At 36.2% G+C, this 18,292-nt stretch overlaps 1 protein-coding gene across 7 annotated transcripts in view; it reads right to left on the reverse strand.

The window, feature by feature from the left end:
• CPNE8 (copine 8) overlaps positions 1-18,292 on the reverse strand; it is a 254,633-nt gene that overhangs the window by 31,978 nt on the left and 204,363 nt on the right. For 3 of the 7 annotated variants that reach the window (XR_245896.5, XM_017018852.2, NM_153634.3), the window contains exons 15-16: positions 9,477-9,658; positions 1,310-1,437 (exon numbers count right to left, since the gene is read on the reverse strand). Coding sequence is in view for 5 of the 7 variants with exons in the window: in XM_017018852.2 (XP_016874341.1) it covers positions 1,310-1,437; positions 9,477-9,658 (310 nt within the window). In the remaining 2 variants the exon portion in view is untranslated. Of the gene's footprint in view, positions 1-1,309; positions 1,438-2,411; positions 2,523-3,617; positions 7,155-9,476; positions 9,659-11,731; positions 11,881-18,292 lie in introns of those variants that run through there. The other 4 variants (XM_047428345.1, XR_007063052.1, XM_011537951.4 and 1 more) reach the window with 4 other exon arrangements.

An 18,292-nucleotide genomic window follows, 5' to 3' on the forward strand; every position in this document is an offset into this window, starting at 1 on the left:
AATATATAGTATATATGACATTACTTACATCGGCTAGTATAATAAGCTAGGATATGTTTTTCAGATTGCAAGTAATGACCCATTAATGGATTGTGAGATCAATTTTGGGGGCCAAGATTGTATTTAAGAAAAGAGAAATAGAGAAGAACAGGTGCCATAGAAATAAAGATAAAACAGGTAAGACTAAGTACCATTTCATGAGTAACTTTTTTGGGGGGTTGTGTATGTACAGGGTTAATATATATTAATAAAATTCATATTTTAGTAGAGATTGCAGATGATTTTGTCCGAAAAATTCAAGCCGAAGGGTCACACTCAGAGAAAAGTCATCAATGTATCACTGTCAACCTGAGTTGGAGTTCCACAGGGAAGTTGCACTGGGGTCAGCCCTGGGTGCAAGGGATATTTTAGCATTTTGTCCGTGTCCCAGATAATGAAAAGTAGAGCACACTGAAGTTGCCGGTAATATTCATTAGGGAAGATGGTAAAGTACTAGAACCTTCAGAGAACTGGGGTTTCACATTGCCTTTGTACTTGATAAACTGACCAAAATACATAATTTTTTTCAAGTTCTGGCTACATATTTGAAAGGATATGCAATTTCTAATTATCTCAAAATAATTCAGGGTGTCATAGGATTTACATAGGCCAAACTTTCTAGGGATTTAAAAAGTGTTGTCTAATTCATTTATGTACTAACGAAAAAATGATAAGTATGTATAGATTTATTTTTAACATTTTAACATTTTCTTCAGAACATGTACTTGGAGTAATAAGCAATTATATTCTGATCTCAGTACTATGTACCATATACAGGTAGAGCTCTGGGAATTTATAAATTAGCTACTATATTCATTTCAGAGAGATTAAAATAATGTGCCCTATATGTCGTTGACAGCTTCAAGTAGTCATCTAATAGAATTCAGTCTCTTACTACTTCTATGCTACTTATTACTATTATGGAATGTGATATTAGATAAGAATGATTTACACAGTTGGCATCACCATTGATCTTGTTATTTTCCTCATGGATGCCTTTTCCTAAGAAAATGTTTTCCTTAGTTGAACAAAGATAGTTCCTAACATAACCCAGCAAATGTTTCTTCACTTGATATTTTAATGTACAGTTCTCAGCAAAGTATCATGATCGTTTGATAGAGACTCTTTCTAACATACATTTTTTCCCCACTTTCTTGGAGGTAAACTAGAAGAAAACAACTTTCATGTGTGGAGTCATGCTAGCAACAATGTTATGAGTTCACCATGTTCCAGTACATCAGAATAAGCACCTTGTCTACTCTCTACTTACCTTGCTACATGATTAATTACAGGAGCAAAGTTGGTGGGCCCATATAGTTGTACAGATTTCAGACTCCTGTAATAAGCCTCCATGACCCCCTCAATGCCATCACAGTAGGGGTTTTGAGGATTCCCATTCTGTAGAAATTTATAGGCAAAACAAAACAAAACAACAGTAAAAAAGTAAATCTCCATGAAGATCAATTGAAAGAGATGAGAATAATACACGTTGACACTCATATTTTTTGAGGAACTCTTATTCATAAATTTACAATAGCAAAAAAATAATACATTAAGTAAGTGATCAACAATCGATTATGATATATTATGTAGATAATAACATGATATAATGTACAATCATTAAAAATCTATACTCTTAAAAAATGGCAGAAGAAAATTTTAAATAAGAAGTTGAACACCACAACAGCCTAAAATTAATAGTATCTTAATTTACACAGGTTTGGGTACATGTGGAGATAAACATATAGAAATCCTAAAAAGAAGAAAACCAACGTATTAATAGTGGCTACCTCTGGGTGGTTAGATAACTGATAACTTTACTTTCATCCTTTAACCTATTCTCTATTTTTCCAATTTTTCTGCAGTGAACATGTATTAAAATTAGAAGAAATAAATGCTATCAATTCAAACAATTTTACCTGACAGCAGAAAAAATGTAAAATATCTGCCACATGAACATTTTCAGGCCACAATTGATAACTCCAAGTAGAGAAGGAGTCAGAGGGAATATAATTTGGTGTGGGGAATATCAAGACAAGGCAAAAGGAAAGGAATAAAAAAAAAATCCAGGTCATTAAAGGGAAATGGAGCTTGTTGTTAAGAAGCTCTTATTCTGGGAACAGCGCCCAGAAAGGCAACTTTAACCCAAGCTCTTATTCTGGGGACAGGACCTGAGGCAACTTTAACCTGAACACCTAGGCTGGCTTTTTCACACCTTAAATGCCCTGTCATTATTAGGTTTAATTCTCCTAGTCCAAATTACACAAATAACACAAGACCATGTATTAGTTATCTATTGCTATGTAACAAATTACCCCCAAAGTTATACCCTCTGTATAGTGGCTTAAAGCAATGAACATTTATTATCTCACACATTTTTGAAGTCTCAGGAATCCAGAAGCAGCTCAGCACGGTGGTTCCTGAGCAGGATCTCTCATGAGGTTGCATTGAAGATGCCGACCTGGGCTGCAGTCATCTGAAAGCTTGACAGTGGACAGAAGGATCTATTTCCAAAAAGGCTCACTTACATGGCTGTTGGCAGGAGGCCAAATGGACTCTCCACAGGGCTGCTTGAGTGTTCTCATAACATGGCAGCTAACTTTCCCCAGATTGAGTGATCCCAGAGAAAGGGCAAGGACAAAGCCCCAATGCCTTTTATGAGCCAGTCTCAGAAGTTACACATCATTACTCCTACTTTAATCCATTTTCTAGAAATGAGTTACTAAGTCTAGTTCACACTTGAGAAAAAGAAGATAGCCTCCACTTCAGGAAGGGGAATATCTAAAATCATGTGTATATTTTTTTATGCACTAGTGATACTAACTACATTTAAACAGAGTTAGGAATAATTTTAGCATACATGTTTTTACTTGAACAATCACAAGTAACCAGTAATCTATAACTAAAATTTATTGAATTCTATATACCAAGTTTTATACTAAAATATTTACATATATAACTTCCATAACTTTAAAAATGTAGGACTGCCATTAACCCCACTTTATAAAGAAACCAAGGCAATGAGAACTTTGATACTGTGTCTAAGGTCACACAACACGAAGAGGAGAGCTAAGATTTAAACGAGGCAGTCTAACTCCAGAGCTCAATTTCTTAAACACCATTATGCTACCAAATTACGAAATGCCAAGACTTTCTTTTTTTTTTTTTTTTTTTTTTTGTGAGACGGACTCTTGCTCTGTTGCCCAGGCTGGAGTGTAATGGCCGGATCTCGGTTCACTGCAACCTCTGCCTTCTGGATTCAAGTGCTTTGCCTGTCTCAGCCTCCCAAGTAGCTGGCACTACAGGCATGCACCACCAGACCCAGCTAATTTTTGTATTTTTAGTAAAGGCAGGGTTTTGCCATGTTGACCAGGCTGGTCTCGAACTCCTGACCTCAGGTGATCCACCCGCCTCAGCCTCCCAAAGTGCTGGGATTACAGGCGTGAGCCACCGCACCCGGCCAAAATGCAAAGCTTTCTACAAGGCTGGGGAGCTTAGGAAACGGGGCCAAATGTTACCAACTACTTCAATTTTATCATTCGTGACAGAGGGATTTATATCCACTTTTTTTCTTTTAATTTTGTCTTTTCTTCAAACATTTTTATTAACCCTCATACATTTTTGAAAGTATAAAAATAAAAGCCTGCTTTACATTATAAAACTGGTTGCATGACTTGGCTGAAAACAGAATGTAAAAGATAAGTTTAATATTTAGCACAAAGCAGTTAGTGTTTTGATGTTAATCTGAGCCGACCTATTTAACATTCCTTTAAGGTTTTATGGTGCTCTTTTCCCTTGATAAGGTATGAAGCTAATTAAAATTAAAACTCATTACTGATTTTGGGCATATAAAAATGTATTATATATCTACCTTAAGGGAACAGTTACAAACTAGGGTAGTCCTGAGCTACTTTTATTTTTTAACATGTTGATTGGAGGTTTACGTTTTGATGAAACTGTATGTTATCACTATTTCTCTGGAATTGAAACTACAAGGTCACCATTTTTCTCTTCTTTGAGAATGGAAAGGTAATCATTAGATGTTCTATTCATCAACATGGAATGTTTAATGATTTATGAATTAGTCCTACCATAATAAGTTGCTCTAAGGTTTCCTCATATGTCTTAGACGATAAGAATACCTTATATAAAATTATGCCTTCTTTTTAGTATATGCTCTGGATTATATCAGGATTATTTAAAATATTTTATAGCTACTAAAATGAGATTTTCTTCTTAATAAGAAAGTTGTAATGAGTTATAAAAAGATTTTTAAGTCTGTTACTTGCACACACCTTTATAGTGGCACAATTTGCAATTGCAAAAATATGGAACCAGTCTAAATGCCCATCAACCAATAAGTGGATAAAGAAAATGTGGTGTGTGTGTGTGTGTGTGTGTGTATACTACAATTCTACTCAACCATAAAAAGGAATGGAATAATGGCATTCACGGCAACCTAGATGGAGTTGGAGACCATTATTCTAAGTGAAGTAACTCAGGAATAGAAAACCAAATATTGTCTGTTCTCACTTATAAGTGGGAGCTAAGCTATGAAGATGCAAAGGCATAAGAATGATATAATGGACTTGGAGACTGGCGGGGAAAGGTGGGAGGAAGGTGAAGGATAACTCAGTGACCACTGCTCAGGTGATGGGTGCATCAGAATCTCAGAAATCACCACTAAAGAACTTATCCATGTAATCAAAAAACACCTGTTCCCCCAAAACTAGTGAAATAAGTAAAAACATTTTAAATGTGTTTAAAAACTCATTTCTTGAAATAATTATGCAGGGAATCAGTTATTGCTTGTTAAAACAAATTAGAATAAGTCCAGTTGTGGTTCTGACACAAAAGTAAAACACAGGATTTTTTAAAAAATAAGCACATTTAATTTTGTTGTTTATTAATGAAGAGGGCAATGGATGCCTTATTTCATATTTCCCTCCTAATTAACAACCTTTCCATTTATAAAATAACACATGTTAACTTGTAGAACACATAGAAAAGCATAAAGATCTGACTTTAAAATGATTAATAATCTCACCACTCAGACTTAAGTGGGGAGGAGTGCCCAGCTCTTACCCATTTTTCCTCCCGTTTAGCTCCCTCAGGGATTGTGCTGAGGGTGTGGATTCATCTCCATGCAAGAAGTCTGTCATCTCTGTTGCTGCCTGCAGCCTGTGACAGTTTTCAGCAGGGCTAACAAGCTGACAAAATACTGAAAAGAAGCTCTTAGGGGCTGTTGCTCTACTCTGAAATGTGACTGTTGCTTACTGTGGGAAAAAGCTGAGAGAATTCTTCCTTTTATTCAATGAACAAACACCTATTGAGCTTCTGTTTTATATACAGTACAGTGTTAAAGACTCTTAGTTATTAAATTACTGGTGCCTACTTGGCAAAAAAATACATACACATAAATATTAAATTGCATACATTTGTATAAATGCCAAAATAAGTGAAAAGCATGCAAGTGCATTTAGGTATTTCCCAGGAGAAATCACTTGGACAGGTGTAGCGTTTCTCTATTGGTCCGCATGGAAGACCTTCTTTTAAGGACCACTGGCCACAAGCTCATTAGAAATACCTCTACCAGAGCTCCGCACTATTGCGTTTTCAGTTATAAATCCAAAAGGAGTCATCAAGAATGATAATGAGAGGAGAGCAATGACTCATTCTTTTCATAACCATAAGTCTTGAAATGGTAATATTAGGAAATTCTTCCTTTCCTCTCCCATTCCTTTTCCTTTTCTCATAGTGTGTCTCACATAAAAAGCTGGGATTTACTGAGACCTTTTCAAACGAGCAAAGCTTAAGTTCAACATCTGTACTGGCCAAAACTTATACACTGGGGGTAATTTAAGTTGTTAAGAAGACTCCCTTGCTATCCAAAAGAATTATGTGAATGTGGTGAGATAAATAGGTTAATGTTAGAGAACATATATCACAAATTCATACCATGGAAATACGAGGGTTTATTAACATCAGGTAGTTCATGAAAGACAAGACTGTCATGAAACTGAACTTTTTGTATTTGTCATTTTCAGTACCTACAGATAGATATTGCAGTGACTTAGGATGAGCTTAACACAGAATACTTCAGCAAGAATGAAATCAAATACTATCTCACTAAAGACCTACTTAACCCATATCTGCCTTATTTATCCAACAAAACAGAAGTGCTTTGAAAAAAATTAAAGTAATATAATCATTCGGTAATATTAAAGTTGAGGCATTATCATCAACATAATCATTGTTGTTTTCATCGTCAATTTGAGAGGCTATTCTTCATAGATTTAAAGGGGTATGATCTCTATTCCATAAATGTTCGAATTGGGCTCAAAGAACAGACTATGGTGTAAATAACCAAAAATATATATCATTCCTTAGCAGTAGATACTTGTATAGCTTTGGTTACAAGGGGTAAATGTGGAGGTAGGAAAAGCAGAAAAGGAGAAAAGTGGAGGGGAGGAAAAAGGAAAAAAATACACACTAGTGGAGGAAGAAATGTATGGAGAGAAAATTAATAAACCTCTCATTTAGCTTAACACAATTATTCCTTTTCTTAGGCTTTAAAATAGCTCATGACCTTTTTCCTGAGGCACTTCAGACTTAGAATCACATGAGTGATTTTCATGGTTTTATAAGTTTCTGGGAGATTTTAATTTTCTAAGACACAACAAAATCCCAACAGATACTCATTTTTATGACACTGGGAGTGTGGCATGTGGGCTATTTCATGGAAGAAAGAATTAAGCCCTCCAGCAACCTCTCTAGAAATTGTGTGGGTGATGGAATAGAAAAGTAAGAATAAATACAAAAATAAAAATGTAATACTCCTCTTAAAACATTTGAGAAAGATGAAATTTTATATAAAAACTTATATAAAGGTACATATATCATGGTGTTAATATAAGCATGCATCCAAGAGGTGAGATTACAGGTGCTTTTATAAGATGGGGTTTAGCTGTAGTTAAGAGCATGAATTCTAAAATAAGACTGACCTGGGTTCAAGTCCTGTCCTTTGGGACAATGGTTAACTTCTGAGCCTCTGAGTTGAGTTATACAACTCCTGGGTGCACTTTTCTCACCGTTGGTAATGAGATTGGCAGTTTCTAGAGCAGTGCAATGTGTCAGCATGAAATATTTACCACACAGGAATTTTATGAAGATTATATGAGATAATGAGTATAAAGTATGTGACTCGATACTCAGTAAATACTCAGCATTGAGTCAAATACTATTTCACTGAAAACCTACTTAACCTTTGTCTGTCTTATCCAAAAGAAAAACAAAAGTGCTTTGAAAATTTTAAAGTAATATAATCATTAGAGATTACTGAAGTTGAAACATTATCATTAACATAATCATTCTTATTTTCATCATCAATGTGGGAGACTATTTTTCATAGATTTAAAGAGGTCTGATCTCTCTGTCTTATTCTGTTTGTGCTATAAGAGAATACCTGAGATTGGGTAATTTATACACAATAGAAAAGTACTTCTCACAGTTTTGGAGGCTGGAAAGTCCAAGATCAAGAAGTCAGTAGGTTCAGTTGCCTGGTAAGGGCTGTATCCTCACATCGCAGAAGGCAGGGCGAGCTGAGTAAGGCCTCTTTTATAAGGGCCTAATTTCATTCATGAGGGTGGAGCCCTCGCAGACTAACTAGCTCTTAAAGGCCTCACTTAATACTATTACATTAGCAGCACCTGAACTCTGGAGAGGACAGACTGAAACCACAGCAATATCTAACCTATATGTGTTTTAATTGGGCTCAAAGAACAAATTAATGCTGGGCACAGTGGCTCACACCTGCAGTCCCAGCACTTTGGGAGGCTGAGGCAGGCGAATTGCTTGAGCCCAGGAGTTTGAGACCAGCCTGGCCAACACAGTGAAACCCCATCTCTACTAAAAATACAAAAATTAGCCAGGTGTTATGCATGCCTGTAATCCTAGCTACCTGGGAAGCTGAGGCACGAGAACTGCTTGAACCGGGGAGGCAGAGGTTGCAGTGAGCTGAGATCTCACTACTGCACTCCAGCCTGGGCAACAAAGCAAGGCTCTGTCTCAAAAAAACAAAAACAAAAACAAATAAACCAAAAAAAAAAGTAAGGCACAAATCCTTCCTTAAGAATACAGGTTGAGTATCCCTTAGCTGAAACCAGGAGTGTTTCAAATTTGAATTTATTTCTTTGGATTTTAAAATATTTATATAATTACCAGTTGAGCCTCTCAAATATGAATATCCAAAATCCAAATTGCTCTGATGAGCGTTTCCTTTGAGTATCTTATTGAGTTCAAAAAGTTTCAGATTTTGGAACATTTACTTTTCTGATTTTGGAGGCTAAACCAGTATATATTTGTATAGGTTTGGTTACAAGGAATGAACACAGAGGCAGGAAAGGCAGCAAAGGAGAGAATTACAGAGACAGAGAAAGGGAAACATTCAATGGTGAGAAGAAACATATGAAAGGAAAATTAATAAACCTCATTTAGTTTAACACAATTATTTCTTTTCTTAGGTTTTAAAAATGATGGTACATTACAGAGAGCCACACATTCTTTGATACTCTTCCCATTGAGAAGTGAAGGTTAATTCCTCTACCTTGAACCTGGGATGGTCTTAGTAACTTGCCTGACCAATAGGATGTTGCAGAAATAACATTTTGGGACTTCTAAGAATATGATATAAACATCCTTGGAGTTTCTGTCCTAGACTTTTAGATTACTCACCCTGGGAAAGCTGGCTGCTACATAAGAAATCTTGCTACAGTGAGACCACTATACAGTTCTGAAGCCCTCCATAACTACAGAGACAGGCCATATGTAAAACAAGGGAGAGTTGTCCAGGCAACCCCAGCTTTTCAGCTATCCAAGCTCAGGCCCAAGACATGAATGAACATGAGCAAAGAAGTTATGTTAGGAGACATATCAGCCCCAGAAGACATAACATGGAGAAGATCTAAGGAATTCAAAAGACAGCCAGAACTAAGTTGAAAAATATGGCCCCAGTCACCAATTCCAGGCATCTCTAGCCATTCAAGTCACCTAAGCTGAGACTCCAGGTACTGCAAAGCAAAAATGCGCTGTCTCCCATTATATTCTGCTTGAATTCCTGAGGCACAAATCATAAGCATAATAGAATGATATTGTTTGATATCTCTAAGTTTTAGGAAGGTTTGTTAGCAAGCAATAGATAACCAAAATAGACCCCCATTTGTAAATCAGGTGGGTGCACTTCAGGTAGATTTATGGCTAAGCTATTTAGCTGTCCTTTTTTCCCATTAAGTTCACACTCCAAAGTCAATTACTTACCAAAATTAAGCTACAGTCAGTAAAGCTTGCTACTTGACTGACTAAAGAATAAGTACCAAAGCAATATTAAAAGGTCTAACATTAATTTTTCAAAACATCAAATCCTTTTGACAAATTCTTACCAAAGCAAATTCGTGAGATATCCTTCCATCTGGAGGCAGTTTTGCACCAAATCCTAGAGCTGGAAACATTTTATCACTGTCATAATCTTGAACAATTTCTCCCACTGCTTTTAGTGCCATACCATAGGCATTCAGTTGGTAAGGATTCATGTAGTGGAGGGAAGTGGGCTGAGCAGGGTTGCCTGATGACAGAACACATATTTCAAACATAAGCAATTAGGGTAAATAAATTTAACAAAATTTTTCTTGGTGTCTATTTCAGAATGAAATATTCAAAATTATGTTTTTCTGCCTATATACAGTGTGTCAAATCATTTCTTTTTGGATGGATATTAACACAGAAATATTTGTTATATTATATTAGACATATAGAAAGTTCTAAGATATGCCAAAGCATACGCAGAAGTTTTCAGAAATGATTCTTATTTTCAATGCCACAGGGTATTTTTGAGTTTTTGTTCTGGAAGTATAAAAGTACTTTTGTTAATCTTATTTTATTGTAATCTTTATTTTTAAACAAAATCATGTGCCTTTAGCTTGAATCCTTATGCCTATGGCAAGATGACCCAATAGATTTAATGGACTTCAATAATTATGAAGGCTTCCTATAAATAACTGAATATTTGAGAAGTATCCCAATTTAGCACTTAAAAAAGGGAAGTATAGTGATTTTCAAGTGCAGGCTGATTAAATATCTAGATCTAAAAAATTCTTCACAACTTTCGAATGAGACATTAAGCTAGGAGCCAGAGGCCAGAGTCAAGTCTTGCCATTTGTATGGCAGCCTCTGTAAAATAAATCCTACCACTGTGTTTACCCGGAGGACAAAATGAGATTACACGTTTAAAAGTGATTAAAAATAATAAAGCACCATAAAATTGTAAGCTGAACTGCTGCAGTTATTATAGTCTGGGTCATCCACAAGGTTCTGAATTTCAAAATGCTTATACTGTGTAGGATGTTGCACTTGAATAGTGATGAAATTGAGAGAAAGTGTAATGTATTAATATGTGCTACCACTCAAACACATTGAAATTCACAACAAGTTGCCCTAATTACCAGCATAAAGGCAGCCTGAAAGTCCATTTGGTTCCTTAAATAAAAATGGAAAGTTAAATGAGACTTGTAGCAGCATATGAACCTCAATTTTACGTTAAAGCATTGTCTGAAGAAGAAAAGCCTCAGGACATAGTTTTTCTGATAAGGAACAAAAGTAACAAAAAGCACTTGAGATCCAGAGAGAAACAAAATAAAGATCTCCCCTTGGGTTATTTGACAGGTAATTATACACATAATATTTTTGTCCTAAAAACAATTAATTGAACTTTTTTTTATTTTATATTTCCAAGAGTTACCAGCGTTCAAGGGCTGGCTCCACATAACAAAATCACTAAAAAAGTATCTTCTTATCAAAATGGCCTAATGTTCCCCTCAACTTGACTAAACTTGTAGAAAGTTCCTTCCTGACTATAAGACCCTGACCGCTCTTTTCTTACAGCTCTCACTTTAGAAAACTTGCAATTGTAAATTCTTCCTCTGCACCTTTGAGATGTAAATCTTCTACAACCAAGGAGTATCTTTCTCAAGGACATGGAAGGCATCCCTTTGAAATATAAACATCAAGAAAAACAGCAGCCCTATCTTCCAGTCTCCGTGAGAAGATAGAAGCCTAACTTCAATAAGAACCAATTAGCAAACAGAGATGGCCTAAGCACACAAACCAACTTCCGGGCTAATGTCCTCTAGGACTTTTCCAGTAGCTCACCTCAGCAAGCACAAACACTCCAACCTTTTGTTTTGGAGTAGTTGAGTTCAATTTTTGTCCTCTGTTGTAACAGTCTTGACCCCTTTGCAATGGTCTTAAATAAAGCCTTTCTTGCCTTTTTAATGTGTCCAGTGTGATTTTTCTTTGACACTTGCTTCTAAAGTAGGGACTTTGCCACTTGATCCAAAGCCCAGTGGAATCAGAGATTTAAAAATACCATTACTAGACTAAATGGTTATTTAACACAACTCTCATGCCTGAAATCCTAGCACTCTGGGAGGCTGAGGCAGGTGGACAGCTTGAGCCCAGGAGTTTGCAACCAGCCTGGCCAACATGGTGAAACCCTGCCTCTACAAAAAATACAAAAATCAGCTGGGTGTGGTGGCATGTGCCTGTAGTCTCAGCTGCTCAGGAAGCTGAGATGTGGGAGATCACTTGAGTCCGGGAGGTCAAGGGTGCAGTGAGCCCCTGATAGTGTCACTGTACTCCAGCCTGAGCAACAGAGCAAGACCCTGTCTCAAAAACAAACACAAACAAACAAACAAACGAATACTTCCCCCAACTCTCAAACTCACAAATATAGAAGAGTTTTAATCCAATGGTGACAATATGGCAAATACTTTTACTTCACTATGAAAACTGTAAATAAAAAAATATAATTAGTACCCCAGAACATTTAAACATTTTAACCTAACATGCATAGCTGGGCCCTTTGTACCCATACAAAGATGTTACCTATCTCTTTCCAGCATCTTCCTCTACACCAGTCTCTTCACATTACTGCTAATGATACTTTCCCTCCCACCTCTACCTCTCAAGTTGCCACCCTGTCCTGAAATTCACCTTCTCCTCCTCCAACTTATGTCTCACACATACTAGACAACCCTTTTTGTTTATTCCAGCCCTTATTGTCTTTTCTCTTATACTGTTATGGATCTTGTGTTCTATACTAAAAAAAAAAAAAAAATGGCAATTTAAAGTATTGAGTCAACTCCTTGAGTCTGGGACAGTGTTTGTATTTCCTCTGTATCTGCAAAGATGCTTTTAAACAATGAATTTGTAGTAGGTTAATAACATTGGGGCCCAACTAATAGCCATAATAATTATAACACGGAACTTAACATGTATTGACAATTTTATATCATAGCTCACTTAACCCTTTCAACAAACTGACAATATGTATACTTTTGTTATACCCAATATTATCAAAATTATATCTGATTTTGCTTTAGAGATGTACTATACCTTTGTAAGAAACTCACAGTTCAATAGAATATTTTTAAGAGTTTATTGAGACATAATGGCATAAGTTACGTATTAACCATTTAAAATATATAATTCAGCTGGGCATGGTGGCTCATGCCTGTAATCCCAGCACTTTGGGAGGCCAAGGTGGGTGGATCGCTTTGAGCTCAGGAATTCGAGACCAGCCTAGGCAACATGGCAAAATCTCGTCTTTACAAAAAACACACAAATTAGCCAGGAGTTGGTGGCATGTGCCTGTAGTCCCAGCTACTTGGGAGGCTGAGGCTGGAGAATCACTTGAGCCCTGGAAGTGGAGGTTGCAGTGAGCTGAGATTGCACCCCTGTACTCCAGCCTGGGCGACAGAGTGAGATCCCCCATCTCAAAAAACAAAACAAAATAAAACAAAGAACAATTCAATGATTGTTACTATATTCATAGTTATGTGCAATCATCACTATAGTTAATTTCAGAACATTTTTATCACTTCAAAAAGAAACCGTACCCATTAGTTACCACCCTAGCCCTAAATAATCACTAATCGTCTTTTTGTCTCCATTGATTTGTCTCTTCTTGACAGTTCATAAAAACAGAATCACATAACATGTGATCTTTTGTAACTAGCTGCTTTCACTTAGCTTATAGATCTCAACAACCATCTATCTTATAGCCTGCATGTATTAGTGCTTTATTTTTGTTTATTGCAGAATAGTATTCCATTGTATGGATTTTATCATTTATCACTTGTTAGACATTTGGGTTGCTTCCACATTTGGGATATTATGCTGTTATATATATTCACGTATAAGTTTTTTTGCTGACATATGTTTTTAAGTCTCTTGAGTATATATCTAGGAATGAAATTGCTAGGTCATATGGTAACTCTATATTTAACAATGTGAGGAACTTAGCAAAGTGTTTTTCTAAAGTGGCTGTACAATTTTACATTCCCACTGATATAGTTTGGATGTTTGTCCCCTCCAAATCTCAATGTTGGTGATGGGGACTGGTGGGAGGTGTTTAGGTCATGGGGTAGGATCCCCCATGAATGGCTTGGTACCATCTTCCTAGTAATGAGGGAAGTTCTCACTCTGTTAGTTCACGTGAGAGGTGGTTGCTAAAAGGAGCATGGTACCTCCTCCTCTCTCTCTCTCTCTTGCTCCCAACATGTAATATGCTGACTGCCCCTTTGCATTCCATCATGATTGAAAGCTTCCTGGGCCTCACCAGAAGCCAAGCAAATGCTGGTGCCATGCTTATACAGCCTGCAGAACTGTGAGCTAAATAAACCTACTTTCTTTATAAATTACCCAGTCTCAGGTATTCCTTTACAGCAATGCAAATGAAACAACACAATCACCAACAATGTTATGAGGATTCTGATTTCTTCATATCGTCACCAGCACTTGTTATTTGACTGTTTTCTTACAGTCACCCTAGTGGGTATGAAATGATATCTCATTATAGTTTCGATTTGGATTTCCTGATGCCTAAGTTGGCCAAGAATCATTTCATGTGTTTATAGGCCACTTGTATATCCTTCTTTGGAGAAATATCTATTTAGATCCTTTGCCCACTTTTAACATTGGATTATTTGTCTTTTTATTGAATTGTAAGTTATTTATATATTCTAGGTTCAAGTCCCTCATGAGAGGTATGATTTGCGAACATTTTTTCCATTTTGGGGGATGTCTTTTCATTTTCTTGATAGTGCCCTTCAAAGCATAAAAAGTTTTGATTTTGAAGTTCATTTTACCTATTTTGTTGTTGTTGTTGCTCATGAGTTTGGTATCTTATTTAAGAATCAACTGCCAAATCCAAGGTCATGAAGATGCATCCCTATGTTTTCTTCTGAGAATTATATAGCATTAGCTTTTACATTTAAGTATTTGATCCATTTTGAGTTAATTTTCGTATGCGAGGGAAGAGTCCAACTTCCTGCTTTTGCATGTGGCTATCCAGTTGTCCCAGCACCATTTGCTAAGACCAGTCTTCCCCCGTTGCATTGTTTTGGTATTCTTCTTGAAATCAGTTGACCTTAGACATCAGGGTTTACTTTTGCAAACTTGTATCCATTTCATTGATCTGAATAATCATCTTTATGCCAGAAGACACTGTCTTAATTACTGTTGCTTTGTAGTAAGTTTTAAAAGTGAGAAATGTTGACTCTTCCTACTTCAATGTTCTTTTTCAAGTTTGTTTTAGCTCTTCTGGATCCTTTGCAATTTCATATTAATTTCCGTATGAATTTCCTCCAAAAAGTCCTTTCAGACTTTGATAAGGATTGCTTTAAATAAATTTCATATTAATTTCCATATGAATTTCTTCCAAAACATCCTTTCAGATTTTGATAAAGATTGCTTTAAATCTGTAGATCACTCTGGGGAATAGTGCCACCTTAACAATGTGGAGTTTTCTAATCCAAAAGCATGGCTGGTTTCTCTCTTTATTTTCATTTTTAATTTATTTCAACAATGTTTTCTTCAAAAAATAATTTGCACTTATCTTGTTTCAGAGTTGTTGGACTATAAGTTTTGCACTTCTTTTCTCTTGTTTTCCATTCTTTTAACCATATTTGTTTATTTTATGAACAGGTATTCACAATCTCACAATCAGTATACTATAAAAAGATTTCCATAAAGAAGTTGCTCTCTAATGTTCTTAGTTCACCTAATTCACTGGTGCTAGTCACCTTTTGTTAGTTCATTGTGTATACTTCTAATATTTATGCATTTATATTGTTATGTGCCCCGATCCTTATGTCAAGGACAGCACACTGATAACTGATAACTCTGTTCTCTACTTTGCTATTTTCATTTAACAATATATCTTAGAAGTCTTTCCATATTAGTAGAAAGAATGGTCCACTTTCCTTTCTTCTCTCTTTTTCCCCTACCCTTCCTTCCTTCTTTCCTTCCTTCCTTCCTTTCCCTCATTCTTACCTTTTGGTGGCTGCATAGTGTTTCATTCTGTGGCCGAACCACGGTCTATTTCACCAGTACCCAGCTAATATACTCTACGAAGCTTTCTAAACTTTTTTTTTTTACAAATTACTATGAACTATAGCATTTTCTGCGAGTGCAGGTAAATCTGTATTATATATATTTCCAGAAGAAGAATTGCTAGTTAAATTTATTCGTAAGTATAATATTCCTTTTGATACTACGATAAAGGAAATTGTTTTCTGAATTTCATTTTCTAATTGTTTCTTGGAAGTGCATTAAAAGAACTGAGTTTTATATATTGATCTTCTATCCTGCAAACTTGCTGAACTTATTTATTGGTTATAGTAGATTTTCAGTGGATTCTTTAGGATATCCTATATACAAGATCATGCCATCTGCAATAAGGATACTTTTATTTCTCTCCTTCTTATCCAGATATTTTGTATTTAGTTTTCTTGCCTAATGGTCTTGGCTACAACCTCCAGTATAATGTTCAATAGAAGAGGTGGGAGCATACATTTTTGTCTTGTTTTTCATCTCAAGACAAAAATGTTAAGCTTTTCACCACTAAGTATCATGTTATTTGTGGACTTTACATAGATTCCCTCATCAGATTAGGAAGTCCCCTTCTTTTTTTTTTTTTTTTTGAGATGGAGTCTTGCTCTGTCACCCAAGCTGGAGTGCAACGGCATGATCTCGGCTCACTGCAACATCCGCCTCCCAGGTTCAAGCGATTCTCCTGTCTCAGCCTCCCTAGTAGCTGGGATTACAGGCGTGTGACAACACGCCTGGCTAATTTTTTGTATTTTAGTAGAGACGGGGTTTCACCATGTTGCCCAGGCTGGTCTCAAGCAATCCATCCGCCTCGGCCTCCCAAACTGCTAGGAATACAGGCGTGAGCCACTGAGCCTGGCCAGGAAGTCCCCTTCTATTTCTAGTTTGTGGAGTGTTTTCAACATGAAAGTGCACCGGACTTTGTAAAATGCTTTTCCTGCATCAGTTGAGATGATCATGTGGTTTCTGTGTTTTCTTCTATCGACAGGGTGTTGATAATGGTTTGGCTGTGTCCCCACCCAAATTTCATCTTGAATTGTAGCTCCCATAATTCCCATGTGCCATGGGAGAGGCCAGGTGGGAGGTAATTGAATCATGGAGGTGGGTCTTTCCCATACTGTTCTCATAATAGTGAATAAGTCTCATAAGATCTGATGGTCTTATAAAGGGGAGTTCCCTTGCAAATGCTCTCTTGCCTGCCACCATGTAAGACATAACTTTGCTCCTCATTCTCCTTCTGTCATGATTGTGAGGCCTCCCTAGCCATGTAGAACTGTGAGTGAATTAAACCTGTTTCCTTTATAAATTACCCAGTCTTGGGTATGTCTTTATTAGCAGCATGAGAGAAGACTAATACAGGTAGGTTATGTTATTTGATTTTTTAGTATTAAAAATCCTCTCATTGCAAGGACAAATCTTACTTTGTTTGGGTGTGTAATTCTCTTGGTATCAAGATAATATTAACCTCACAAAATGAGCTGGGAAGTAACCTTCTTTCACATTTCAGAAGAGTTTGTGGAGAATTGGTATTAATTCCTCTTCAGATAGTTGTTAGAATTTACCAGTGAAGCTATCTGGCCCTGGGTTCAGATTAACTTTGTGGGTAGTCTTTTAAAAACTACTAATTTAGTCATTTTACTTGTTATAGGTCTACTCTGATTATCTGTTTCTTCTCAAGTCAATGTTTCTTCTCAAATCAAAAATGTTTGTCTTTTTATTTAATAATTTCTTGCTTATCTTAGTTGTTGTGCTAGTATTCATCAGTGAACACAATCTAGTATTTTAAAGCAGTTGGATTTTAGGTATTATTTCTTTTTGTTTGTTTGTTTGTTTTATTTTGTTTTGTTTTTGAGATGGAGTCTCACTGTCACCCAGTTTGGAGTACAGTGGCACAATCTTGGCTCACTGTAACCTCTACCTCTTGGGTTCAAGTGATTCTCCTGCCTCAGCCTCCTGAGTAGCTGGGACTGCAGGTGTGTGCCACCACGTTTGGCTAATTTTTGCATTTTTAGTAGAGATGGGGTTTCACCATGTTGGCCACGCTGGTCTCAAACTACTGACCTCAGGTGATCTGCCCGCCTCAGCCTCCCAAAGTGCTGGTATTACAGGCATGAGCCACCATGCCTGGCCTTAGGTATTATTTCTATGTTCTATATTATGCTGAATAAAACACGAGTAAAAATAATTAATTGGAAGCCATAATGTTGCAGAAAGAACGTGACATGCAGTGAAAGCTGAATTAGAGTCTGGTCTTATCTGTAGTTCTAACTCTAGAACTAACAAGTCAAGTGTGTTTATTAGTAAAAATATTTCCTGGATCTGAATGTCCTCGCTTGTATAAGAAGAAGGTTCAATTAAGTGACCTCTAAGGTACTTTCTTCCCTAAAATTTCTATTGTTTTGTAAAACGTGAATGATTGTGAAATAAAAATGAAATAAAAAGAATATAAAGTGGGATCCATAGACAATAAGCCATTTGAAAGAAAAAAAAGACAAATATAAACTAGTGGCAACTTCTGGTAAAAGTTACATAATGAAGTTAACATTCTGATGATACATAATAACTAATTTCAAATGATTGTTCTGTTTGAAATAAAGTTGCTTCAAAATAAAAGCCCACTATCTTTTTTTCTTAAAAGGTTTAATACATAAATTATGAATATCCATACATGGGCTGTTATATATCCGTCCCTCTGAGTGAATTAGATATTAATGTGTTAACATAAGTAATTATTAAAAATTAATAATTGAGTAAAAGTGAACCAACTTTATAAAGGACAGATACTGTTGAATTACATTTATATAAATTC

Source organism: Homo sapiens, chromosome 12, assembly GCF_000001405.40.
Source record: "Homo sapiens chromosome 12, GRCh38.p14 Primary Assembly".
NCBI classification, from domain to species: domain Eukaryota; kingdom Metazoa; phylum Chordata; class Mammalia; order Primates; family Hominidae; genus Homo; species Homo sapiens.